The 26202-nt window shown below is 52.9% G+C and overlaps 1 protein-coding gene across 2 annotated transcripts in view, besides 1 other annotated feature; it reads left to right on the top strand.

Moving 5' to 3' along the window:
- The window catches only part of CD5 (CD5 molecule), a 33890-nt gene extending 9992 nt beyond the window's left edge, over positions 1–23898 (top strand). For both annotated transcript variants that reach the window (NM_001346456.2, NM_014207.4), the window contains exons 2-11: positions 11102–11140; positions 14221–14526; positions 14961–15023; positions 15280–15621; positions 17657–17950; positions 18953–19078; positions 19930–19983; positions 21078–21197; positions 21797–21887; positions 22334–23898. In NM_001346456.2, coding sequence (NP_001333385.1) covers positions 14298–14526; positions 14961–15023; positions 15280–15621; positions 17657–17950; positions 18953–19078; positions 19930–19983; positions 21078–21197; positions 21797–21885 — 1317 coding nt within the window. In that variant the 5' untranslated portion in view covers positions 11102–11140; positions 14221–14297 and the 3' untranslated portion in view covers positions 21886–21887; positions 22334–23898. The remainder of the gene's footprint in view (positions 1–11101; positions 11141–14220; positions 14527–14960; positions 15024–15279; positions 15622–17656; positions 17951–18952; positions 19079–19929; positions 19984–21077; positions 21198–21796; positions 21888–22333) is intronic.
- Positions 25843–26137: an enhancer, noted in NCBI's record as "tiled regions #3147 and #8872 (exact overlaps); K562 Activating DNase unmatched - State 5:Enh, and HepG2 Activating DNase matched - State 8:EnhW". NCBI's record gives its function as "activates a minimal TATA promoter and a strong SV40 promoter by Sharpr-MPRA in K562 cells, with weaker activation in HepG2 cells {active_cell/tissue: HepG2 | K562}" and the evidence as "EXISTENCE:reporter gene assay evidence [ECO:0000049][PMID:27701403]".

A 26202-nucleotide genomic window follows, 5' to 3' on the forward strand; every position in this document is an offset into this window, starting at 1 on the left:
TGTGTGAGTATTTTGTGGGGGGGAAAGTGTGAGTCTGTGCGTGTGAGTCTGTGTGTGAGTCTGTGTTCATGTGTGTGAGAACTGTGTATGGGGGAATGTGTGAGTCTGTGTGTGAGTCTGTGTGTGAGTCTCTGGGCATGTGTGTGAGTACTGTGTGGGGGGAATGTGTGAGTCTGTGTGTGAGTCTGTGTGTGAGTCTGTGTGTGGGAGTCTGTGCGCATGTGTGTGAGAACTGTGTGTGTGTGCTTTCATGAGCACAATGCGGCCTCCAAAGGCAGGATTATCTCCCCAACACATGTGACAATGGCACCTGTGCACACATGTTCACATGGTTCTTCTCACATGTAACAACAACAGGTACAAAATGCCTTCTGTCCCAAAGTAAGAGGCCTGAGACAGACCTCTGGCTGGCTTCAGGGACCCTGCTAAGGAGGGACCAGGCCCTTAAACCCCCCACCTGCTCCTCACCTCTGGCCTCAGACTTCATTGAGATAGGGCGGCTCCCAGCTGAGTATGGGAACCCGTGTCCTGCTCTAGGGCCCTCCCAACTGAATCCCATCATGGGTGAGGCTCCTGATGGCACCAGGCAAGTCCCCTGGCCCAACACAGGCCACAGTCAGGAAGACTTGGAGGTAGCCCCTTCACCCCAGTATGGGGACCTCCTTGAACCCCAGGAATACTCAGTTCCCAGTGTCTGAGTGAGCCGGTGGGTACCAAGCATTCCCTTTGTTCAGTGGGTAACGGTTTACAAAGCACTTTTAAAGCCATTTTCTGCTGCAAGCTTCACAACAGCCAATGAAGTAGGTGGGCCCATTGGCCCCATTTTACAGTGGGGAAAAGCGAGGCCCAGGAAGGCCGAGTGCAAACCCAGGGTGCAGCAGCTGGTGCACAGCCGAGCTGACCCCAGCCCAGCATTCCTGCCTTCACAGAGGCCCCTCCCTTAGCTAAAAGGGAAGGCCACCAAAGGCACTTCCGTGTGCAGGAAAATGGCCCTGGGACACAACCTCCACCAGCAGAGATACAGCCACCAGAGCTGGGGACACCAAGGGCCAGGGTTGCTGGAGTCAAACAGTGCAGGCACCCTTTGAGCCATTCCAAGGAGAGAGGCAGCAATGCCAGAGCCCTGGGGACACCACAGCCTCCTGGCTGGCATCGGGGCTTGGGGACCTTTGGATCCTGAGGCATGAAGATGCCCCCAGCAGGCCTGGGTGCTAGTGACAGGCCAGGGCTTCCCACAGTTGCTCCCCTCTCAGCCCCAGCCTGCCTGGACAGCTGCTGGCAGTGAGGCGGGGAAGCGGCTCTAACACAAACTGCACGTCCCTGACTGGCCTAGCCGATGCGACTCTGAAAGCCAGCACTGGGACGTGGGAAAGTCATGGACTCTGCAGTTTGAATTCCAGTCTGCCACTTACCAACTGGGCGACCTTGGACTAGTTCTGTAAGCCTCAGTTTTCTCATCCGTAAACTGGGTGCAACAGTACCTCATAGAGGCTTATAAGGATTCAATGAATCAATGCACACAGAGCTTAAGTACAATCCTGGCATATAGTATAGTAAGTACTCAATAAACAATAATAACAGCAACAACTATGATTATTATTATTACCAGGGTCAGCAAGAAACAATGCGAGGTAGGAGCCAATGGGGAGGAGGGTCTTGCCAGAGGCCTGCACAGCCGTCAATCTCTCTACCCCTCAATCCTCTTGCACAGGCTATTTATTCACTAATTCATTCATTTTTCATCTACAAATATTATTGAGCATCTCCTGTGCATCCAGCTCTGTGCAAAACACTGGGGATACAGGGACCAAGGCAGGAGTCCCTGCCCTCAAGGATTTGATCAGCTAACAGGAGAGCTGTTAGAGAACACAAGTAAACAAGCACCAAAGACCGGGCATGGTGGCTCATGCCTGTAATCCCAGCACTTCGGGAGGCCAAGACGGGTGGATCACCTGAGGTCAGAAGTTCAAGACCAGCCTGGCCAACATGGTGAAACCTCATCTCTACTAAAAATACAAAAATTAGCCGGGAGTGGTGGCACGCACCTGTAATGCCAGCTACTCAGGAGGCTGAGGCAGGAGAACCGCTTGAACCTGGGAGGCGGAGGTTGCGGTGAGCCGAGATCGCGCCATTGCACTCCAGCCTGGGCAACAGAGCAAGACTCCATCTCAAAAAAAAAAAAAAAAAAAAGGCACCCGAAATATTTACACATTTTGAAATACTGAGTGCAATGAGGAGAACAGCAAGTTCCTCAGGCACAATACAGTCTGCACTAGGATAGGAGGACATCCCTTTGGCTGGGCAGGCAGGGAGGGCCTCTCTAAGGAGGCGAGGTCTCATCTGAGAATCCGAGACCTGAATGAGGGACGGAGCCAGCCAGGCAGAGAAAAAAGGGAAGAGGGTCCCAGGCAGAGCGGATGGCAGGGCAAAGGCAAGGGGGAAGGACAGGCCTGAGAGGGTGGGGCTCCTACTGGGAGCAGGGCAGCAGGCCCACTGTCCCAGGCTGGGCGAGGCCCTGGTTGGATCATCCTCCTCGAAGACCCAGAGCTCCCCACCTCCAGCAGGGAATGAAGGGACCTGGGGGCCCAGGAAGGGACCTGGCCTTCCTGGGTCACTCTGTCACCATCAGTTCAGAGGGGTTTTCCCTGCAGTGACCAGGCGGCGAATTCAGCTCAACCTGACAAAATTGATTGAACATCTATTCTGTGTGTGTGTGTGAAATTGAACATCTACTGTGTGTGTGTGTGTCCATGTGCTGTGTTTGCGTATGAACACATATGTGCACAGCCCTGTGGAGGGGAGCTTTGGAGCAATGCAGACCTAGTTTGATTTCTGCTTGGCCACCCACAAGTGAACATCTCTCAGGGTCTCATCTATAAAAATAGGGGTTCCTTGCTGTGTCCACCTCAAAAGATCACTGCAATAATTACATCGGGTTTATTCAGAGACTAGGTATGGATTGAACACCTACTATGTGCCAGATGCTGTTCTAAGTGCTGAGGACACAGCAGTGAACAAAACGGTGGAAAATCCCTGCCCTGGTGGATCTGGCATAATAGTCAGGGTGTGATGGGGAGACAAACAAGACACAAGCTAAGCTAGTGATTATGCGAATACTAGACGGTCATGAGAGGTGTGGAGACAGACAGATAGAGGAGGGCTGGGACCGGAAGCCTTGGTGGGGTGTGAGGTACCTGGGGAGGATTCAGCGGCTCTCATGAGAAGATGATATTTGAGTCAATATTTGAAAGAAGGGAGTGAGCCCACCGTGTGGGACCTGAGGAGAAGCGTTGCAGGCAGAGGGGCCTCCAGCTGCAGGTCAGTGGGGGATCGATGAGGCAGCCACGAGGGCCACGGATGCCCCCGTGAGGACTTGGGCTTTTTCTCCCATGCACTGGACAGCCACACAGGAGCAGAGAGGTGAGCATAACTCTCACCTCTCCAGGTCCTCAAGTGCATCTTGAACCCCAGGCCAGATGCATTTGGAACTCCAGAAGCTTTCAGATTGTAGAAGGAAATACTGTGTACATACTGTGTGCTCTTAACACACGCAGTGAGGCCTGGGGCAGCACCCTGCGTTCAACACATTCCCATTTCTGCAGTGAAACATGAATTTGCACACTTAGAGGGATGTAAAGACAGCAAACACCCTCCCACCAAATGCATTAGAACAAGACTTTTAGATTCTGGATTTTGAATTGCAGATAAGAGACTGTGGGCCTGGATCACTTCTTCTATAGCTACCACTATCACCGTGACCAGCATCATCATCACCATCATGTACCTTTCAAGGCCTGACTTTCATGGTGTCCAGAGGGACCCTAATACTCCTCTCCGGGGGACAGATACGGTAGGAATAGCGTAGGAAATGGGTGGTGGCAGTCTGCAGAGACGACAAGGGTCCCATGCACTGCCACAGATTCCCACAGAGACATCTGGAATGAACCCCTCCCTCCTTCTGGCCCCAGTTTCCCCCATCTGTACTCCAGAGCAAGCAGGCTCTGGGGCCTCCCTGGGGTAGACTCCCACAGGCCCTGTCAGGTGATGGAGACAGGGTTTCTCTCCTGACTCTACCACCAGCTAGCTGTGTGACCTTGGGCAAGTCACTCAGCCTCTCTGAACCTCGGTTTCCTGATCTGAAAATGGAGGTGAGCATGGTCCCTTCTTCACAGGGCTGTGGGTAGAAAGAACAAGTCTAGTGCATGAGAGAGCTTTGGGGTAGGTAAAGCTCTAAACAAAACCAAAGCCTTGTCTCTGTGACAGCAGAGACACCGTATATGGTGCGAAACTCATGCAACAGCAGACTACTAGTGGGAGAGAGAAATAACAATTCAAACAGCAAAGGTCATTCTGCCCACGACCCACTGTCCGCTCACTGGGACAGGCCCTGGGTGAGCCAGATTAGAGACCTGAATCTGCTGTTCCTTCCTGCGGGCTCCATTCCCAGGCCTCTCCTGGTGTAAGCCCAGTGTGACTCTATATGTGTTTTGCACATAAAAGCCGCCTAATCATAAACCAATCATTTCATCTGTGCTCAACCCAAGAAAGGGAATTTTGGTCCTTTACGACCTTCGTTTCCCTAAAGCCCTGATACAGCTCCAACTCTACAGATGACTGTCGTTTCAGAAAAGAGGGGCTTCTGACCTTTCAAGTCAGCCAACATATAGGATTCGAGGAAGGAAAATCCAGAATCCTACCCAAAACACAGGCAGATCTATTGTATTTCATGGACATCGATGGCTGTAGCTATGGGGAGGTCTGTGGACTGTTAGAAGGAATCACTGTTTACGGGAAAAAGGGAACACCTGACTTGCAAACTACACTAAATCAGTCATAGGTGTTTTATCTGTGGAACAAAGTGGTGATAGCACCCCGTCTTCTGAGGCTCTAGAAAGAAATGGGGTCTTCTGTGAAAAATCCTTGTCCTGGGGTCTGCACAGGGTAAGGATGCTGTCATTTTATTATCATCGGTCATTATCACAGGCCTGTGAATCCGGGTGCCTGCCAAACCCTAAGCAGGCCACACCCTTGCCTCCATTTCCCAGGGTGCAGGGGCGGCAGGACCTAGGAGTGAGCCAGAGGCAGGGGCCAGGAGTGCAGGTTACAAAGCCAGCCGCCCTGGGCTGAATTCTGGCCCTGCCGAGTTCTCACTCCCATGCACCACGACAGCCTCCTCCTCTGTAAACTGGGACCCATCATGCAAGTCAACAAATATTCATCTGTAATTCCAAAGCCCAAAAAACATTTGTAAGTTTCTGGCAAATGCATTTGGTGCAAATCCTGACCTGAACGAATGGGAGGCTATTTATAATCTTGACACATCCCCCTTAGTGTGAAACTGCATATGTTTCGCTGCAGACACTGCCATGTGTTTGAAGCCAGGTCTCTCCACACACATGGCGACCGTAAGGTGCCAGCGAGGCGTGGACGAAACAGAAGTCAAGGGCCACCGCCACTGCCTGGGGCCTCCAGAGATGCAGCCAGTGGAGCCAGGATGTCCTATTTTTCAAAAACGCCTGGATCTTGAAATGTGTTTAAAAAGCAAAACAAAATTAAAAGAAACCTTTTTTTTTTTAATTTGGCTCAAAAAATTTTTAAACACTGTGCAGAGCAAATAAAACTCATGGGATGCCGTAATGAGAGCCAAAGTGAGAATTATCCTGAATACTGTGGGGGCAAGAGGAATGAGAGGGACAGGGAGGAGGATATCCTCACCAAGACCTCAGGGCAGGCAGGGCCAAAAATATTGTCTCTGCCAATGCAAAGACAAGAGACGGGAGCTCCAGGGGTGTGATAAGCCGTCTGACTTCTTTAGCCCTGAATTTTGCCTGGGTTTGCCCAGTCCAGGCCCTAAATTGTGGGAGCTGCAAGGGGAGGTGGGCAGGAGAAGGAAGGGGTCTTCAGAGAATTCTCATCCGTAGCCCCAGTTGCTCGGGGTGAGGGGTGGCTGGCGGATAAGGAAACGGCATAGCACTTCCAGGCCTCGGGGGCCTCCTGGTCTGGAGTCTCGGGGATTCTGTCCACAGTTTTGGCAATAGCAGGAGCCTCAGGCTTCATGAGGCTAGGAAGGATGGTGCAGGAGTAAGCTGTAGAGCCCCCAGAGGGGGTCAGGGAGACCCTGAACACAGACCGCAGGGCTCAGGGGATGGAGGGTGCTGGTCTGACCCCTGTGAGAAGCAACTAAAAAATAGAAATAGGTTATGGACCCTCAAAACCTCAATGTTCATTCTGCTCCCTAGATTATAAGTGAAAAACAAACAAGCAAATAAAAAAAAAACCTGAACATATTCATGGACAGGCTGAAAGAATATACACAACACACTCAGGAAGCTTCCAAGTCAGCTGTACATCTCACCGCCCTCCCTCCACCAGCTGCTGAAATCCATCAGGAGCTAAAGATTATAGATCACAGGTGTTTGAACCAGGGGGAAGGTGAGGGACTGTGGAATCTAACTTCCTTACTTTACAGATTAAGAAACTGAGCCCAGAGAGGCTGAGTGGCTTGCCAAGGTCACACAGCACTTCATAGCTAAGTCTTCTCACTGCATGTTTTACTGACTGAACGGAATCACAAGTTCATTCCCTTTGATCAGGATTGCACACCAGGGTGGTGCAGGAATCAATGAAACCTGGGGCAGGCCATCATGGGCTTCCTGCTGGAGGGAAGGGAGGCAGTTTGGGCCTCACTGGCAAAAGCTCAAGACTCAGTGCCAGGCGGCTAGGTTTGAGTTCGGGCCCCAGCACTCATTAGCTGCTTGGACAAGTCATTTAACCCCTCTCAAGTTTCCTGGTCTGTAAAATCGGGACCAAAATAATAGCACCTACTTCATAGCACTGTGGTGAGGACTGGGAGAGTTAATGTGTAAAAGGCCCGGAAGAGTGAAAACTTTTAAAGTGTTGGTGATGGTGACAGTGATGGTGATGATGATGGTGACGGTGATGGTGATGATGATGGTGACGGTGATAGAGATGGAAGGAGAGGAGAGGAACTGCTGCTCATCTGGGGACCAGACAGGCACCCAGAGGAAGGTTCCAGGGCGACACTCTAGAATGCATAAATATCTTTTTTATTAAAGCATTTGTTAGAGCATTTTTTAAAGAATTTCACTTGGTTCTCCAGCTTGTTCAGTCTTTCCTGAGAATGTTCTCTGAGCAAGACCTAGGCTGTTCTGTGTGGAATCTGCCAAGATTGTCAGGCCCAGTCCCTGTCCCCAGGCCTTCAGGGTCTGGCTGCACGAGCGCTTCCAGGTCAGACCCAGGTGGTGTTCATCTCTGCATCTCCAAAGCTGGCACTCTGGAGGAGCAATTGGGTGGCTGGGAGCAGAGAGCATGGGTTTTGGAGTCAGACACATGGTTCGACTCCACCTGCCAGCCATATTACCCGGGACAGGGCATTTGCCCTCTCCTGACATTTATACCAGGAACGTACTCAACTCTCGTGATGGGGCTGTGTGGAAGATTAACAACAATATCTGTGATGAACCATACCGTGGGCTAAGTATGCAGCAGGTGCTCAACAGTTGGCAGCTGCTGTTAATAATGAACGTTGAGTATGATGACTCGGGAAATAGAGATGCTCCTTGACCTACAGTGGGGTTGCCTCTCAATAAACCCATTGTAAGCTGAAAACATCCTAAGTCAAAAATTCATTTAATACCCCGACAAACCCATTGCAAACTTGAAAAGTCGTAAGTTGAACCACCCTAAGTCTGGACCATCTGCGCGAAGTTTCCAAGTTAGGAGAAGGAAGTGGTGAGCCCCATGGCTTGGCTCTCTGTGCTCCTGGACAGGGAATCTTCCCACTGGGAAAGCTCCCCGAGGGTCTGCTGCCCTGGGCACAGCTTCCCCCAGCCCACCCTACTCCACAGATCAGTAGCACCAGCTCTGAGCACTAGGCCAGGAAGCACTGGGCTAAGCCCTTTACACCGATTAGCTCATCTCATCTTCACAACGGCTCTAGAAAGCTAGTCCCATGCTCATCCTCATGCTATGAGTGAGGAAATCGTGGCTTGGAGGCACAGAGACAGGACAGACGTGCTCCCCAGACTCTATAGGCAGGAAGTGGCAGAGCTGATACTCAGAACTGGAGCAGTAGAAAGTCATCGGTGACTGAAAACCCATCCTGAGCTGTGTAGCACTGAAGGGCAGATATTTGGACTCCCACTCCCCACAGGTGGCACTTCAAGCTGCCTTAGCCCTCGAGACTTAGCCAGAGGGATGACTCCTTCAAGGCAGACTGCCCTGCTCCTGATGGGCAGCTGGGATGAGAGGGAGGTGGGAATGAGAGGTCAGGAGTGAGAGGTGAGGGCAGGACAAAAGGGCCTCCTTCCTGATTTCTCTCGCTAGCTGGACATCTCCCTGATGGCCTCCTGAGGCTGCCCTGCCCACTGCAATAGATCAGATGATTGGCTGGGCGCGGTGGCTCATGCTTGTAATCCCAGCACTTTGGGAGGCTGAGGGGGGTGGATCACCTGAGGTCAGGAGTTCAAGACCAGCCTGGCCAACATGGTGAAACCTCATCTCTACTAAAAGTACAAAAATTAGTCGGGCGTGGTGGTGCATGTCTGTAGTCCCAGCTACTCGGGAGGTTGAGGCAGGAGAATTGCTTGAACCAGGGAGGCAGTGGTTATAGTGAGCCAAGATCATGCCACTGCATTCCAGACTGGGCAAGAGAGGAAGACTCTGTTTCAAAAAAAAAAGAAAAAATTGATCAGACGATTGACAACTAGACCATCCTTTTCCACCCAGGCCAGAGCTCTGTACACTTCCCTGTTGGTGAGAATAACCTTCCCCTTCCAAGGCCCGTGACTCCTAGAGCAACAGCCACGAAAGGATCTTGCAGATTCAGGGGAAACTTATCACATGGCCATGATGACTTCATTACAAAGAGTCTTGATTCGGGGACAAGGATGAACTGTGGAGCACATCACCCCTTAAAATTCAACCGCCAGCTTGAGAACACTCAAGCAAGAACAGCTTTTTCAAAGCACACCTATTTTTTAAGAGACGGGGTCTTGCTATGTTGTCCAGGCTGGACTCGAACTCCTTGGCTCAAGTGATCTTCCTGCCTCAGCCTGCTGAGTAGCTGGGACTACGGCCTTGAGCCATTGGCCCAGCTAAACACACCTATTTTTTAACACCAAGCAAAAATTTCTCACAAACAATTTGAACACAGCCTTTCACTATTAATATATAAAGCAGTCTCCTTGACCCAGTGCCGTAAATCCAAGAGTAAACCCAAGTCGGACAGATGGAAATCAAAATACCGTACTTGCACCTAACTGATCACGCTAGGTGGTGAATACAGAGGTTAAGCTTTGAAGCCACGTGAGCTTGCTACTTCACCTCGTCCCCACCCAAATTAAACCTCTTCCCCAGCCACAGATGAGCTGCTCTGCTGAGAGCCCCGCAATGGGCAACTTTGCCCCCACTCCACAGTGAGACCAGGCTACAAGGAGGCAGAGCTTCCACGTGGTCCACATGGGGGAAGGCTGGTTCCCTGCAGACCCGTGTTCCCTGGGCCTGTCGCCTTGGCTCCCTTGTCAACTAGCTGGCTACACTACTGTGGGCAGGTCACGCCATCTCTTTGAGCTTGGTCTTCTCCAGAAATGGGCAGCTGTTAAAGATAAGTGGCTGTCATTCTTATCCTGCCTTGGGAATGCTAGAAAGTAGCAAATGTTCTCTTGGTTCCCTTTCTTGCTCATTTCTTTCTTTCCTTTTTTTTTTCTTGTAAAGACAGAATCTCACTCTCTCACCCAGTCTGGAGTATAGTGGTGCAATCTCAGCTCACTGCAGCCTCCACCTCCCAGGTTCAAGCAATTCTCCTGCCTCAGCCTCCAGAGGAGCTGGGATTACAGGCATGCATCACCACGCCGAGCTAATTTTTGTTATTTTTAGTAGAGACAGGGTTTCACCATATTGGCTAGGCCAGTCTCAAACTCCTGACCTCAAGTGATCCCCCCACCTCGGCCTCCCAAAGTGCTTGGATTATAGGCATGGGCCACCGTGCCCGGCCCCTTTCTGGATCATTTCTCCATTCTCTAGAACTAAGGAGCTCAAACTTTTTTGAGTGGAAACATGCGGGACATTTTTACATTGCAACCCCCAACACACAAAAAGTGATCAGTGCATTCTGACATTCTCTTTTTTATTTATTTAAAACAAAACAAACAAAAAAAAACAGGGTCTTACTCTGTCACCCAGCTAGAGTGCTGTGGCATAATCATAGCTCACTGCAGGGTCCAACTTCTGGGCTCAAGCGGTCCTCCCACCTTGGCCCCCTTAAGTGCTGGGATTGCAGTCATAAGCCACCGTGCACGGCCTCTCTATTCTACTCCATTTCATTTTTAAAAAAATTGATGGCCTGAGTGCTGTGGCTCACACATGTGAATCCCAGCACTTCAGGAAGCTGATGCACGAGGATCACTTGAGCCCAGGAGTTCAAAACCAGCCTGGACAACATAGTGAGACCCCATCTCTACATACACACACACATACATGCATACATACATACATACACACATACATAGTAAAAAAATTAGCCAGGCATAGTGGCTCATGCCTGTAATCCTAGCTACTCAAGAGGCTGAGGTGGGAGGATTCTTTGAGCCAGGGAGGTTGAGGCTGCAGTGAGCTGTGATCATGCCACTGCACTCCAGCCTGGGTGAGGAGAGTGATATCCTGTCTCAAAAAGTAATAATAATAATAATTGATGGTTACATTATTACAAAGGTTAGCATGAGGGAATTTGAGGTAGGGAGTAATGGAACTGGTGTATACCTTGATTGTGATGGTGGTCACACACATCTATATATGTGACATTCACGGAATCATGCAGTAAAGAAAAATCAATTTCACGTCTGTTCATTTTAAAAGTAACGTTTTTTAAGAAGAAAAAAAATCGATAGTTGCAGCCCACTAGATAGAATTCATATCACTCAGGGGTTCCAACCTGGAGTATGAAAATTCCTGTCCCTAAAACCCATGATAGTGGATAGGGGGAGGCAGAAAGGGCCATTGCTCGGGCTGTGGGTGGGTGAGCTGGGGAGAAGGGAGAGAGTGGGAGGTTTCACTTCCTGACCCTCCTCTCTTCTTTCTGCAGTCGCTTCCTGCCTCGGACGGCTCAGCTGGTATGACCCAGGTAAGGAAGAGCCACATGGAGAAAGGCCTGGGGCAGGGGGAGAGTGGGGCTGTGGTTTCATCAGGCCATCGGGGACCTCTCGATGAAGCCATCACTTCTGCCAGAGTGAACCCCACCCTATAGAGAGAGTGAACCCCAGCATACACACAGGCACATAGATGCAGACACTGCACATTAAGATGCTCACATGCAGGTGGGTGCCCTCGACAGCCGTAAATCACCCACAAATGCCAGATCTCATGATAATTATTATGACCCGCTCACCATGCACAGAAGACATCCCAGCTCATAAATGTACCTTGCAAAGTCTTATTTCCCACCCAATCCTGACAGATGCTCCATGGTCAAAGATGTTTAGAGCGGAGTCTGCAGAGAGAGGCCGCAGACTGATGGTAAAGTGTGTGGAACGTCCAGCCTTAGACGTTGGAGTTTAGTCGTAGAGGCTGTTTCCCAAATAGGGTTCCATGGAGCATGTTGGACAAAGGGCAGGCAACACCGCATCTCCCACTGAAGACTGACAGTGTACACCGGCCCAGTAAAGGATCTGAGAAATCCTGCAGCGAAGAAATACATGACACTTTTTAACCCAGCACTTTGCACCCTTATTTCACCACAGACCTCTCCTTCACATTGACTGGGATAACATCGTGCTGAATGTACCTGGGGAGAATTGTGGCTGAAGGGTCTTGAGATGCCACTGTGCAGCCAGAGGGGGTGACAGGGGCCTTGGCAGGCCCTAAGCACGATCTGGGCCCTGCACTGACATCCTAGCTCCAAGCTTTGGCACACTGCTTGACCTCTTGAGCCCGTTTCCCCAGCTGTGAAATGGGAAGAAAATCTCTTGCCTGGTGAAGCGGCAACGAGCCAGCTCGCTGGGCGGACAGCCTGCAAATCACCCCACCAATGTTAGGTGTTGAGACGCGCTCGTTCTCCCTCTAACCAGCCAAGTGCCCTTGGCGAGCCCTGGCCCTGAGCTTTGGCCCCAGAGTGTCCTCGTCGGAAGAAAAGGGTAGCCTGACCCGTGGTTCCCGACCAGGGAAAACCTCCCCCTCAGAATCACCTGGGAGAGCCTTTCACATTTCTAAAAATTTCTTGAATCAGTGACACATTCATCCAGCTCAAAAATTTAAAAAAATATAAAAAGATCTGTAGTGAAGAGTCTCACTTCCATCTCTATTCCCGTCTATCCCAGTCGCCCCCGACGTCGACCCCAACACCCCAGGTAATGACTACGTTTATTTGTTTCTTGCATATTCTTCAAGGAGCTCTTTATGCAAATACACACACACACACCCCACACAGACCCCACACACACACCACACATACACACAACCACACCACACACACACACCACCACAAACACCACACACACACCGCACACCACATACACACCCCACACACACCACCACACCACACACACACACCACCACACACACACCCCACACCACACACACACACCACACACACCACACACACACCACACACACCACATGCACACTACACACCACACACCACACACATACCACACACACACCACACACACCACACACACCCCACACACACCACACACACCACACACACACACTACACACACCACATACACACCACACACACCACATGCACACTATACACACCACACACACACCACATACACCACACACACACCACACACACCACGCACCACCACACACACACACCACCTGCACACTACACACACCACACACACATACAACACACACAACACACACACCACCACACACACATCACACACACCACACACACTACACCACACAGACACACACACCACACACACACATATATTTTTCCCCTCATGGAGTTTGATAAAATCACACAAGACACATGTCTACCCATGACCCAGCAATTCCATTCCTAGGTATTTACCCAAGAGAAATGGAAACGCCCACACAAAGACCTGTATGTGAATGTTCACAGCAGCCTTATTCATAGTAGGCAAAACCCGGAAACAAATCAAATGGTGAATGGAAAACAAATTGGCATGTCCGTGTAGTGAACTATCATTCGGCAATAAAAAGGAATGAACTACTTATGCGTCCAGTGACATAGCTAAATCTCAAATACATGCTAAGCGAAAAAAGCCAAATCAAACAAAATAAAATCCATGCTGTATGAGTCCATGTCTATGACATTGTAGCACAGGCAAAACTCATCTTTTGTGACAAAAAGCAGATCAGTGTTTGCCTGAGGCTAGATTCAGGGAAATTAACTATAAAGGGGCCTTAGGGAACTTTCTAGATGATGGAAATGTTCCATATCTAGATTATGGTGGTGGTTACATGCATGTATACATTTGTCAAATTCCATCGAACAGTATCCTTAAAATGAGTGCATTTCACTGTATGTAAAATTACCTCAATAAAATTTTTTTTTTTTGAGATGGAATCTTGATCTGTTACCCAGGCTGGAGTGCAGTGGCGCGATCTTGGCTCACTGCAACCTCTGCCTCCCGGGTTCAAGCAATTCTCCTGCCTCAGCCTCCCGAGTAGCTAGGATTACAGGCGCCTGCCACCACACCCAGCTAATTTTTGGTATTTTTTCTTTTTTTAGTAGAGATGGGGTTTCACCATGTTGGCCAGGCTGGTCTCAAACTCCTGACCTCAGGTGATCTGCCCGCCTCAGCTTCCCAAAGTGCTGGGATTACAGGCATGAGCCACCACACCTGGCCTAAAATTAATTTTTAAAGATCTCTTAAAAAGCAGACACCAGCCCCAATCTCAGACCCCTTGAGACAGAATTTCCAGGACAGGGGCCATCCTGCTGGACAGTGGGTGCCGAGAACACCTTGCCCATTTATCTGAGCTCCCTTCTGACTCTGAAATCTGGAGCCCCACCCTCCTGGGTCTAGCTTCGGGGCTGCCTGGGTCAGGGTCCTCTGGGAAGCCCCTGCAGTGCCCCAGAAGGGACGAAGCTCACAAGGGGCAAGGCAGGCAGCCCACGGGGCAGGAGGGAGCTCAACTGGGCGTCCTAGGGAGAGGGCAGTGAGGGGTGCCAGTGGGGAACCCCTCCCAGCCTGACCCCCACCACACCTTTCTGACCCCCAGATTTCCAGGCAAGGCTCACCCGTTCCAACTCGAAGTGCCAGGGCCAGCTGGAGGTCTACCTCAAGGACGGATGGCACATGGTTTGCAGCCAGAGCTGGGGCCGGAGCTCCAAGCAGTGGGAGGACCCCAGTCAAGCGTCAAAAGTCTGCCAGCGGCTGAACTGTGGGGTGCCCTTAAGCCTTGGCCCCTTCCTTGTCACCTACACACCTCAGAGCTCAATCATCTGCTACGGACAACTGGGCTCCTTCTCCAACTGCAGCCACAGCAGAAATGACATGTGTCACTCTCTGGGCCTGACCTGCTTAGGTGGGTAACTAGCCAGCCACACGGGCACCCTGGGCCTGGGCGCCAGCCCCGAGGAGACTGCCCGAGGCCTGTGATCTAGGGTCTGAGCAGGCTGGTGGAAGGGGTGGGGGGACCCCAGTTTATAACCACTCCCCAAGACACATACCCAGGAGGGGGACTGGAAGGGGCCAGCACCCATCTGTAGGATGGCAATGGAGGACCTAGTTCTGCCAATCACTGACTTCATCGTCGCCTCTGAACCTCCATTCTCCCATCTGTGAAGTGGGGTGGTACTTCCCGCCTCGCAGGAGGCTTAGAGACAACGTGTGGGTCAAGTGGACCTGGTGTGCCAAGCGGCACTCATGCCAGGAGCTCCTGGTCCTCTCAAGGCTGCTGGCTGCCCCCGGCCCTCCCCACACCACCCATTCCTCCCTCACCAGAGTGTCTCATTGCAGAACCCCAGAAGACAACACCTCCAACGACAAGGCCCCCGCCCACCACAACTCCAGAGCCCACAGGTAAGAGGATTCTGAACCCCCCACAGGGAGTCAGAGCTAGCAAATAAAAACCCAGGATGCCCAGTTACATTGGAATTTCTGACAAAGGTGGAAATGTTTAGTATTGGTGTGTTCTACGCAATATTTGGGACCCCATCACCTCCCAAGGCTAAGCGTTAGTCAGTAGTTGTCCACAAGTTGGGGCCAAACAGCAAGGAGTGCCCAGGAAGCCCTCGGCGCTCAGGGTGGCTCCCCCTCCTGCTCTCTCCTCTCCTAGCTCCTCCCAGGCTGCAGCTGGTGGCACAGTCTGGCGGCCAGCACTGTGCCGGCGTGGTGGAGTTCTACAGCGGCAGCCTGGGGGGTACCATCAGCTATGAGGCCCAGGACAAGACCCAGGACCTGGAGAACTTCCTCTGCAACAACCTCCAGTGTGGCTCCTTCTTGAAGCATCTGCCAGAGACTGAGGCAGGCAGAGCCCAAGACCCAGGGGAGCCACGGGAACACCAGCCCTTGCCAATCCAATGGAAGATCCAGAACTCAAGCTGTACCTCCCTGGAGCATTGCTTCAGGAAAATCAAGCCCCAGAAAAGTGGCCGAGTTCTTGCCCTCCTTTGCTCAGGTAAGTGAGACCTGGCCAAGCCCCATGACACCTTCTGCTGCCCTAGGTGGGGTCACAGAGCATCCCAGAAGGTCAGGGAACATGTGTGCAGCACAGGGCACTATGGAGAATACAAGGGAAGTGGAGGCCTGGTCTTGGCCTCTAAGAGGTAACAAGGGTTGGGGTGGGGAGGATGCATCCACACTCAATGCCTTGGTAATCTCTGCAAAGCTACACACCCCAAGCCCAAAGGAACCGCTGGCTCAGCTGCCACATGGGGAAGGGGAGTCGGCAGGACTTCCAGGAGGAGGCAAGGTCTCTTCGTGGGTCTGGGGGAGAAAAAAAAATGTCTAGGTAGGAATTATGGCTTGTGCCAAAGATGGGGCACTTGGAGGGGTGGGCCTTGCAGGAAGGGCATTTGTAAATCCCAAGAGTTGGCATTGCAGCAATGGTGAGAGGTGGGAGGTCCCTGAGGCCCGGGAGTCAGAGGACAGCAGGCAAAGAGAGAAACAGAGACAGCCCCCAAGAGGGCTCTGCAGAGGGTCCTGCGCCGTGTGCTGACAAGGTAAAGAGAATGATGCCGCTGTGTGGTTGAGGGGAGGAGGCAGGTGAGACTGAGTCTGTGAGACCCCGGTGGGCCAAACCAGGATCAATGAAGAAAACTAAAGGGAAGAAACCACAGCTGAAACGAAGGGAGAAACGGAGAAACTTCGCAGTACGCCTCCCTCCGGAAGTAGTGGGTTCCCATGGCCGGAAGTGTTCTCAGTGAAGTCCACACTGTACTTACCGAGAGCTTACTTCATGCAGGGACCATTCCTGGACATTCTAAATTTTTCACATGGCCTTAGGAGGTGGGTGTTATTATTATCATCCCTTTTTACAGTGAGGAGGCTGAGGTTTAGAGAGGCTAAACCTCTCGCCCAGTACTATGGAGCACTTGCTGGGATTTCTGTTCAAGCAGGGTCACTCTAGAGCCTGTTATCTGAGCCTTGGTGACTCAGTGTGGTCCTGGAACAGCAGCAGCTGGTTAGAAATGCAGGTGCTCAGGCCCCAGCCTGGACCTTCCGAATCAGAATCCACTTTTCAGCAAGGTCCTCAGTGATTTATGTGCACAAATCTAGGAATCACTGCTCGGGGCCACCTGGCTGTCCTGCAAGCACGCTGGGTACCTGGTGTAAATTAGTAAAATGCTGCCCCTCCCCCAGCAGAAGCAGCTCCCAAGGGGCTCTTGGCCTGATGAGGAGAGCAGGGGCTGGCTCGCAGTCCCACCGGCCCCTCAGCTACTATCCTTCCTGCAGGCTACAACCTGTAAAACCATACCCAGGGTTCTTGCCTTTGAAGCTTCTTCTAAATAGATTTACTAGGGCTTTGAAGGTGGATGTTGCTATGGGAACTGGGCAAAGCTGGTGAGATCACAACTCTCTCTAAACTGAGCATGTGTGGGCCTCAGCTACAGACTCCCAGGCCCCACCCTGGCAGGCAGAAATAAATGTGTGCCTCTGTTGAGCCAGGCCCCACTTGCTGAAAGCCTGGCCCTCAGCGTTCAGTGCCTGGGCAGCACGATCTGTCCCAACTGTGAACTGCCAGGACTCAGGGCAGTAGGTCTTTCCAACCCCCAGGCCTCAGTTTCCCTCTTCTGAAAAGTCCTCCTTCTTCCCAAAGTGCAGCGGGATAATGACAAGATGTTTCCAAGTGAGAAGTGGACCTAGGTGGAGCCTATTTCCCACGCTCTTCTCTTATCTCCACCTGGCATGGAGCCGACTCCCTGCTGGTGGCTGCCAACAGCCTCCCTGCAGAAAGCGCCTATGCTGCTGTGTCTCAGGATGGTGCTGGCAGCTGCCCAGAGGCACCAGAGACAGTGCTGGGTCAGGGGAAGAGCCACAGAGGGTGCCAGAAGGAGGGAAGGGCAGAAAAGAAGGCTGCCTCTCCTGGTGGTCCCACACAGTGCCTTCCCCTAGCCAGGGCCCCGATTTGCCAGTGGCATGGGGCCCCAGGAAGCAGCACACAGGCTCAGGTTCACACTTGCACCCTCCTTTCCCATTGCTTCCCCTCTCAGGTTTCCAGCCCAAGGTGCAGAGCCGTCTGGTGGGGGGCAGCAGCATCTGTGAAGGCACCGTGGAGGTGCGCCAGGGGGCTCAGTGGGCAGCCCTGTGTGACAGCTCTTCAGCCAGGAGCTCGCTGCGGTGGGAGGAGGTGTGCCGGGAGCAGCAGTGTGGCAGCGTCAACTCCTATCGAGTGCTGGACGCTGGTGACCCAACATCCCGGGGGCTCTTCTGTCCCCATCAGAAGCTGTCCCAGTGCCACGAACTTTGGGAGAGAAATTCCTACTGCAAGAAGGTGTTTGTCACATGTGAGTTGGCCACAGCCCACAGTGGGTGGAAGCAGTTACTACTTTACCTCTAGGACCCGGTCAGGGTGCATGTCTCTAAAGGGAAGCCCTGGGGAGCTAGACAGAGAGTCCCAGAGACCCAGAAAGGATGGAGACAGGGAAATTGGAAGGCTAGGGAGCAAGAGTACTCAGACAGCAATGGGCATGAACAATAATAGGAGACAGGGCAAGCAACAGGCAGATCACTGTCAGGCAGCTGATGAGTCATAGAACTTCTCCTTCTACCTTCTACTTTTGCAAGGTGGAAGCCAGAAAATCAAATGGTAGATAGCACATATTTGCTACATGAATGGTAACTAAACGGGAAGTAAAAGAGAGAAATGGATGGATGGATGGATGGATGGATTGGTGGGTGGGTGGGTGGGTGGGTGGATGGATGGATGGATGGATGGATGGATGGATGGATGGATCGGTGGGTGGGTGGATGGATGATGGATGGATGGATGGATGGATGGATGGATGGATGGATGGATGGATCAGTGGGTGGGTGGATGGATGGATGGTTGGATGGATGGATGGATGAGTGGACTGATGGATGGGTGAGTGGATGGATGGATGGATGGATGGACAGAAGGGCGGATGGACAGATGGATGGATGGATCAAGAATAGAGGCCCCGCTGGCTATTGGTATGCAATCATATATTGGTTTCTGATGGTATATGATGGCAAGGTGATCACTAATAACTGGCAAATGGTAGAAAATTAAATAGCTTATAACAAGTGTGGCAAATGATAGCTAGATGATCAACTGTTAGATGACAAATGGTGGGTGGGTGAGTGGGTAGCAGGGAATCCTAGAGATAGATGGAGGGATAGCCAAATAGATCATTGCCTTCCGTGCATGCTGGTGAATTTCTCAGATGAGCAAGGATGACGGCGGAAGCCAGGCAGCCAGCAGCTTCCCTCCCACAGTTTTTCTCCCCCCAGGACTGGGACTGACCTAACTCTTCCTCCTTCCCCAGGCCAGGATCCAAACCCCGCAGGCCTGGCCGCAGGCACGGTGGCAAGCATCATCCTGGCCCTGGTGCTCCTGGTGGTGCTGCTGGTCGTGTGCGGCCCCCTTGCCTACAAGAAGCTAGTGAAGAAATGTAGGTGTCACGGCCCTGAGTGGCTCCGTTCCCACGTGCAGAGACTGGAGGGGCTGCACTAGAGTCCTCCGGAGGAGGGGTCATGCCTCCAGAGAGCTGGGCACGCAGGACACCTCTGCTTCACCACCCAGCCTTCCCCTCTCCTGCCCATTAGCCATTTTCTGCCCCAAGTAACAGAAACACAAAGTAAACAAAATTGCAATTGCTGATTTGTCCATCTCTGGAGCCCAGCTGAGACCCACTCCAGGTCAGAGAGAAGGTGTGGCCATTCCCAAGGCTGTGGCAGGCCCAGAGGGTGTTCAGTACAGCCTCTGATGGTAGGAGACACACATCCCAGGCCTAGCCCCACCACTTACCACTGCCCAAGATGCTGATTGGGACACTTCCTCTCTCTGACCCTCAGTTTCTTCATCTACCAAATGGGCAATCGCACACCTTGTGAACGCGGGGGGTTGTTCTCCTTGCCTTGCAGAACTTAAGAGGAAATTATTCAGACAAAGAAGTGAGAGGGGAGAGATTGGGAACAGAGGGCCCAGCAGGACAGTGTTAGGTCCTAGTGCCTGCCCAGGTCTAGTTCTAAACGCCTGTGGTCTTTTCTCCTGGGGAGCCGGGCACCTCTACACCATCCTCGGCCTGCTCCTTCGGCACAGGATGGCTGCAATTCCCTTCCCGAGCAAGTTAGGAAACTGAGGCCTACGAGAGACTCCAGGGGGCAGAGCCCAGCAGCCCTGCCCTCAGCTGCACCTGCCGCCACCATCTCCCTCCCAGGCCCAGCCCCATCCCCACCCCTGCCTGCCCCCACCCATACCTGCCCCCACCACTCTGATGTGCCTTTCTTGTCTCTTGCCCAGTCCGCCAGAAGAAGCAGCGCCAGTGGATTGGCCCAACGGGAATGAACCAAAACAGTAAGTGTCCCCGGAGGCAGGAGCCTCCCTCAGGCCCTGGACAGAGGCCATGGAGGCAGAGTCGAGGCTCTCTGCTGACCACAGACGGAGCCTGTGGCTGCTTGAAGCCTCTGATCTCCACGGTGCTTGTCTGACATGTGACTGTGGCCAACAGACGTCCCCACACCAGGGAGGGCGGAGGCTTCTTGATGGGCTGATGGCTGAGCGGTTTCTACCGCTGAAGCCTCAGAGTGTAGAAACATCTCATGGTATCCTTTCTGTCCCTCGCCCCATCTCTAGGGTCCCCAGCAGCCCTCACCTCCTCCAGCAGTATTCCCCAACACAGTAGCCAGTGGATGTTAACAGGCAGCACTCACAAGAGGCCTCCCTGATCAACAGATCTGGAAAACCATGAGTTAGGCACAGCTAAGCATAGCTATTTCAGGACTTATCAGAACCTTAATGGGCATTTTTGTATTGCCCATCTCCAAAGCAAGGATCCATTAAGAAGGGCTGTCCAAGTTATTTTCATCATGGAACAACTTACAGGGCCAGTATTAGGACATTTTGGTGCAGCCAGCCCAACACCATCCCTGGTCTTCATCCTCCCTCCTTCCAGCCACAGTCAGAGACACCCTAATGGATGGAGACATGGCGCTCTTCCTGCCTCCCATTCTGCCTTCTTCCCCCTTCCCAAGTCCACAGCCAAATCCTTCAAGAGGGCTCTGTTGAATTTGTTATTAAGAAAGGCTCTGGAAACTTTCTTAATAACATACAGGCCCTCAGCTCCTGGAGGGCAGGGAGCAGATCTGTCCCGTCACCTGTGCTCCAGTCTCCTGCTTGGTAAATGCTTGATGACCGACTCACGGAAGGCCCCACCCTGCCAGTCAGATTGCTGGGTTACCCAAACCTGCTCTAAAAGTCTGCTGCTGATCCTGCTAGCATGAACCTCCCAGGAAGAAAGGAGAGGGGGATGCATTGAAGGGGCTGTGGGTGCCTTTGTCCTCTCCCCGCTAACATCATGGGAATAGGAGATTAAAGTTCTGGGCACCTGCTGGGGAAGGAGACGGAGGACACAGCCACAAGTCTGACACTGTCTCCTACCATCTGCCCAGTGTCTTTCCATCGCAACCACACGGCAACCGTCCGATCCCATGCTGAGAACCCCACAGCCTCCCACGTGGATAACGAATACAGCCAACCTCCCAGGAACTCCCACCTGTCAGCTTATCCAGGTAAGCACCAGCGGGTGCTCCCAGGCACGCAGGCAGGGCTGCAGCAGGCCGCCAAGGCAGGTCACGTGATGCCCTTGAAGGTCGGGTGATGGCCCAAAGACAGAATGGAGACCCCAGGGTGCAAGGGGATCAAACATCGCAGGATGCAGCAGGGGTACGGAAGGGATATAGCCTTTGCAGGCCCCAGCTGTCCCGTTTGAGACCACAAACTACTCATCTGGAGAGAAGAATGCACTCAGAAAGCCATCAACCCCAGCCTTGCTGTGACCTAATGGGCCTGTTTCCCTTCAGGGCCTTGAGGGGCCTGGATGGTAAATGAGGCCCCTTGGATTCCTCCGGGCTAGAAGAGAGCCATTAAGTGGGCTGCAGGAGCGCTGTACTAAAGGCTCCCAGACTGGCACTACCAATTAAGCCCCAGGGAGCCTGGAGTTCAGCATCATTAGTGAACGTTTGGCTGATTTGATCAAAACAGATAAGGGGTTGTCACCGGCTCATAAAGCCCCTGTGATCTTCCAACCCACTGTGGGCAGCGGCTCTAGGATCCAAGGGGCTCTGTGGAGTCAAAAACCCTCTGCAAACAGCGTCCTTTCTTTCCCCAGCTCTGGAAGGGGCTCTGCATCGCTCCTCCATGCAGCCTGACAACTCCTCCGACAGTGACTATGATCTGCATGGGGCTCAGAGGCTGTAAAGGTGAGCCCGTCTCCAGCCTGACCCCAGCACCCCAGGGTCCCCCACAGTCCTGGGGGTGAGCAGCAGCCACTCAATGCCTCCCCTCAGTCCCACCCTGCCCATACATGAATAGGGGACCCCCAGCATCTTGATTCTTGTAAAGGGAAAGACAAACGTCAGCTGTTTAGGTTATACGAGCTGATTTGACAATTAGAGCAGAGCAATCATGAACTTTAACAATCAACTCTTAAACTCCATTCGGAAGGCCACACAGGCAGAGTCCCTAAGAGCTCCGTGATGGAGTCACACCCCTCTAGAGCTGCCAACCTGCCAGCGGGCAGAAGGAGCCCCTGGCTCAGGACAGCAGCCGTCCCCAAGATGGAGCCCAGAGCATGGGTCCTGTCCCCGACCTCCCTGCATCACCTCTGCGGTGTCTTCCTCTAACACGTTTCCTTCTCACCCCACAGAACTGGGATCCATGAGCAAAAAGCCGAGAGCCAGACCTGTTTGTCCTGAGAAAACTGTCCGCTCTTCACTTGAAATCATGTCCCTATTTCTACCCCGGCCAGAACATGGACAGAGGCCAGAAGCCTTCCGGACAGGCGCTGCTGCCCCGAGTGGCAGGCCAGCTCACACTCTGCTGCACAACAGCTCGGCCGCCCCTCCACTTGTGGAAGCTGTGGTGGGCAGAGCCCCAAAACAAGCAGCCTTCCAACTAGAGACTCGGGGGTGTCTGAAGGGGGCCCCCTTTCCCTGCCCGCTGGGGAGCGGCGTCTCAGTGAAATCGGCTTTCTCCTCAGACTCTGTCCCTGGTAAGGAGTGACAAGGAAGCTCACAGCTGGGCGAGTGCATTTTGAATAGTTTTTTGTAAGTAGTGCTTTTCCTCCTTCCTGACAAATCGAGCGCTTTGGCCTCTTCTGTGCAGCATCCACCCCTGCGGATCCCTCTGGGGAGGACAGGAAGGGGACTCCCGGAGACCTCTGCAGCCGTGGTGGTCAGAGGCTGCTCACCTGAGCACAAAGACAGCTCTGCACATTCACCGCAGCTGCCAGCCAGGGGTCTGGGTGGGCACCACCCTGACCCACAGCGTCACCCCACTCCCTCTGTCTTATGACTCCCCTCCCCAACCCCCTCATCTAAAGACACCTTCCTTTCCACTGGCTGTCAAGCCCACAGGGCACCAGTGCCACCCAGGGCCCGGCACAAAGGGGCGCCTAGTAAACCTTAACCAACTTGGTTTTTTGCTTCACCCAGCAATTAAAAGTCCCAAGCTGAGGTAGTTTCAGTCCATCACAGTTCATCTTCTAACCCAAGAGTCAGAGATGGGGCTGGTCATGTTCCTTTGGTTTGAATAACTCCCTTGACGAAAACAGACTCCTCTAGTACTTGGAGATCTTGGACGTACACCTAATCCCATGGGGCCTCGGCTTCCTTAACTGCAAGTGAGAAGAGGAGGTCTACCCAGGAGCCTCGGGTCTGATCAAGGGAGAGGCCAGGCGCAGCTCACTGCGGCGGCTCCCTAAGAAGGTGAAGCAACATGGGAACACATCCTAAGACAGGTCCTTTCTCCACGCCATTTGATGCTGTATCTCCTGGGAGCACAGGCATCAATGGTCCAAGCCGCATAATAAGTCTGGAAGAGCAAAAGGGAGTTACTAGGATATGGGGTGGGCTGCTCCCAGAATCTGCTCAGCTTTCTGCCCCCACCAACACCCTCCAACCAGGCCTTGCCTTCTGAGAGCCCCCGTGGCCAAGCCCAGGTCACAGATCTTCCCCCGACCATGCTGGGAATCCAGAAACAGGGACCCCATTTGTCTTCCCATATCTGGTGGAGGTGAGGGGGCTCCTCAAAAGGGAACTGAGAGGCTGCTCTTAGGGAGGGCAAAGGTTCGGGGGCAGCCAGTGTCTCCCATCAGTGCCTTTTTTAATAAAAGCTCTTTCATCTATAGTTTGGCCACCATACAGTGGCCTCAAAGCAACCATGGCCTACTTAAAAACCAAACCAAAAATAAAGAGTTTAGTTGAGGAGAAATGAGCCTTTAGAAAACTGTTTTTCAAGGGTTGGCTGACTTGGGTGATGCATTTCAAAAAGATGTTTGGTGATGCGATGGAATAGAAGCACTTTAGTCTTCAACGTGCCATTGTCAAGTTCCTGCCTTGGCTGGTGAAGGCAACCCACTGCTCCCCCAGCCAGTGCTCGGGGGCTGGTGTCCACATCCCTTGGTAGAGGACGCGCTGCCGTGACCTGGACAACCTCCCCGTTCCTGCATCCCAGCAACCTGCTAGAGCAGGGCCAGCCCTTCCACTCACCTGTGTGTCCCTCAAACCCTGCCCATTCCGTAAATTATGTTCCTGCGTAAATCATGTGACCTGGCCAATGAGTGGGCGTGCAACCCCTGATTCTAGCACATTAGGTCAAGGATACCAAGGACCAAAAAGTCTAGCTTTCACACTGCCATGTGCCCAAGCATGGTGGCTCGTGCCTGTAATCCCAGCACTTTGGGAGACCAAGGTGGAAGGATTGCTTGAAGCCAGGAGTTCCAGACCAGCCTGGGCAACAAAGTGAGACCCCAGCTCTACCAAAAAAAGGAGTTTTTTAATTAGCTGAGCATGGTAGCACATGCCTATAGTCTGTTATTCATGAGGCTGGTGCAGGAGGATCACTTGAGGCCAGGAGTTTAAGGCTGCAGTGAGCCATGATCTTGCCATTGCACTCCAGCCTGGGCAACAGGCTTTTTTTTTTTTTTTCCAAAAAAACCATATATATACAAATAATTAGCCAGGCATGGTGGCACACACCTGTAATCCCAGCTACTCAAGAGGCTGAGGCAGGAGAATCACTTGAACCCGGGAGGCGGAGGTTGCAGTGAGCTGAGATGGCGCCAATACACTCCAGCCTGGGAGCCAGATGAGTGAGATTCTGTCTCAAAAAAAAAAAAGTTATCATGCACCCAGGGATCTGGGAGTACAGAGCGGAACAGAGAGCTGTAAGGACATGACATTTATATGGCCTCACCACATCCAGCAGAGCAAAGTGTCCTAAGCTAGGAATCTCTTGAGACTCTAAATTTGATGCTCAGGGTCTGTCCCCCTGCAGCGGGAGGCCCACTGTAGTCTGGTGAAAAGCAGCCAGTGATCTCCCAGGGATGCAGGGAGGGAGGCGTGAGGAGCGCCTGTGTGTGCTGCCCTCTGAGGTGAGGTGGCCAGGGAGAGGGGGAAGCAAAGAGCACAGGGTGGGACACGCGGGCTGACCAGCTGAGGCAGCTCATGATGGTCCTTTCTTAGAAAGTCAGCCCCTCCGTGCCCCCTGCCACCACTCTGGCACCAACCCAAGGCAGGTGACCTGACTATGCGCCTAGAGGGAGATTTGCAGCCTCTTCCTACAAAGCCAAATTGCTTCCAGCTGTCCCTGATGTCCTGTGTCCTCAGCCTTGGACACCTGCAAGGCAAAGCCAGAGTTCAGCTGGGGGTGAAGGGCAGTAAACGTTTGACCAGAGCCCAGAGACTCTCAGCTCTGTCCTCGGGAGGCACTTCTGGCACCACCAAGGCAGGGGGAAGGAGCCCCTGCAGCCTCTGAAATCCAACCGACCCAGTCCAAGTCCCACCTCCTCCTAAGGCTGTGCAACCCGCTCACCGAACCACCTGCCCTGTGGTTTCCTCCCATTTAAACTGGGGATGAAAGGGCTGTTGCGAGGACTCCAGGACATAATGCGCCTGAAAGCACAGTACAGCCTGCAGCCATAGCGACTTCAGGGCATCTCTAGGCATCCTCCACAGGTGGCCGCCCGGTCACCTTGCGGGGAAGGAGAGGCGGAGGGCTGACATGAGGGACTGTTAGAAGCCTGGTCTTCAGACTCCCTCCAAGCTGCCCTTCCTGCTGAGCTGAAGACGCCCTCCCTGGCCTCGGGATAGGCAGCTCAGCAGCAGAGGCGACGCTGGGGAGGGAGGCAGGCTGGGCCAAGGCCTAGAAGACTGTTGGTGCCGCAGCCAGTTTAGCGGCCTGCTGTTCCTCTGAGCCCATCCTGCAAGCCCAGGTTAGAATTAGATGGCTCACAGACAGGCCCACACGCCGACATCCCGCCAGCCCGGCAGGTGGCAGGAACGCAGCACCTCCCGAGCAGGCTGAGGACCAGACGCCCCCTCGTGGCATCCTGTGGCCTTGCATGCCATTGCTCTCAGTCCAGGACCAGGCAAACGTAGGCTCCAATAGGAAAACGGCTAAGAAAGAAAGCGGAAGAGCGGGAGAGGGAAGGTAAATACTCCCAGGGCCAGCCCTGGGGCGAGCGGGCAAGGGAGGGCTGACATCCAGACGGATGGGGCTTTGGGATGTGAATCA

Source organism: Homo sapiens, chromosome 11 (assembly GCF_000001405.40).
Source record: "Homo sapiens chromosome 11, GRCh38.p14 Primary Assembly".
Lineage (NCBI taxonomy): Eukaryota > Metazoa > Chordata > Mammalia > Primates > Hominidae > Homo > Homo sapiens.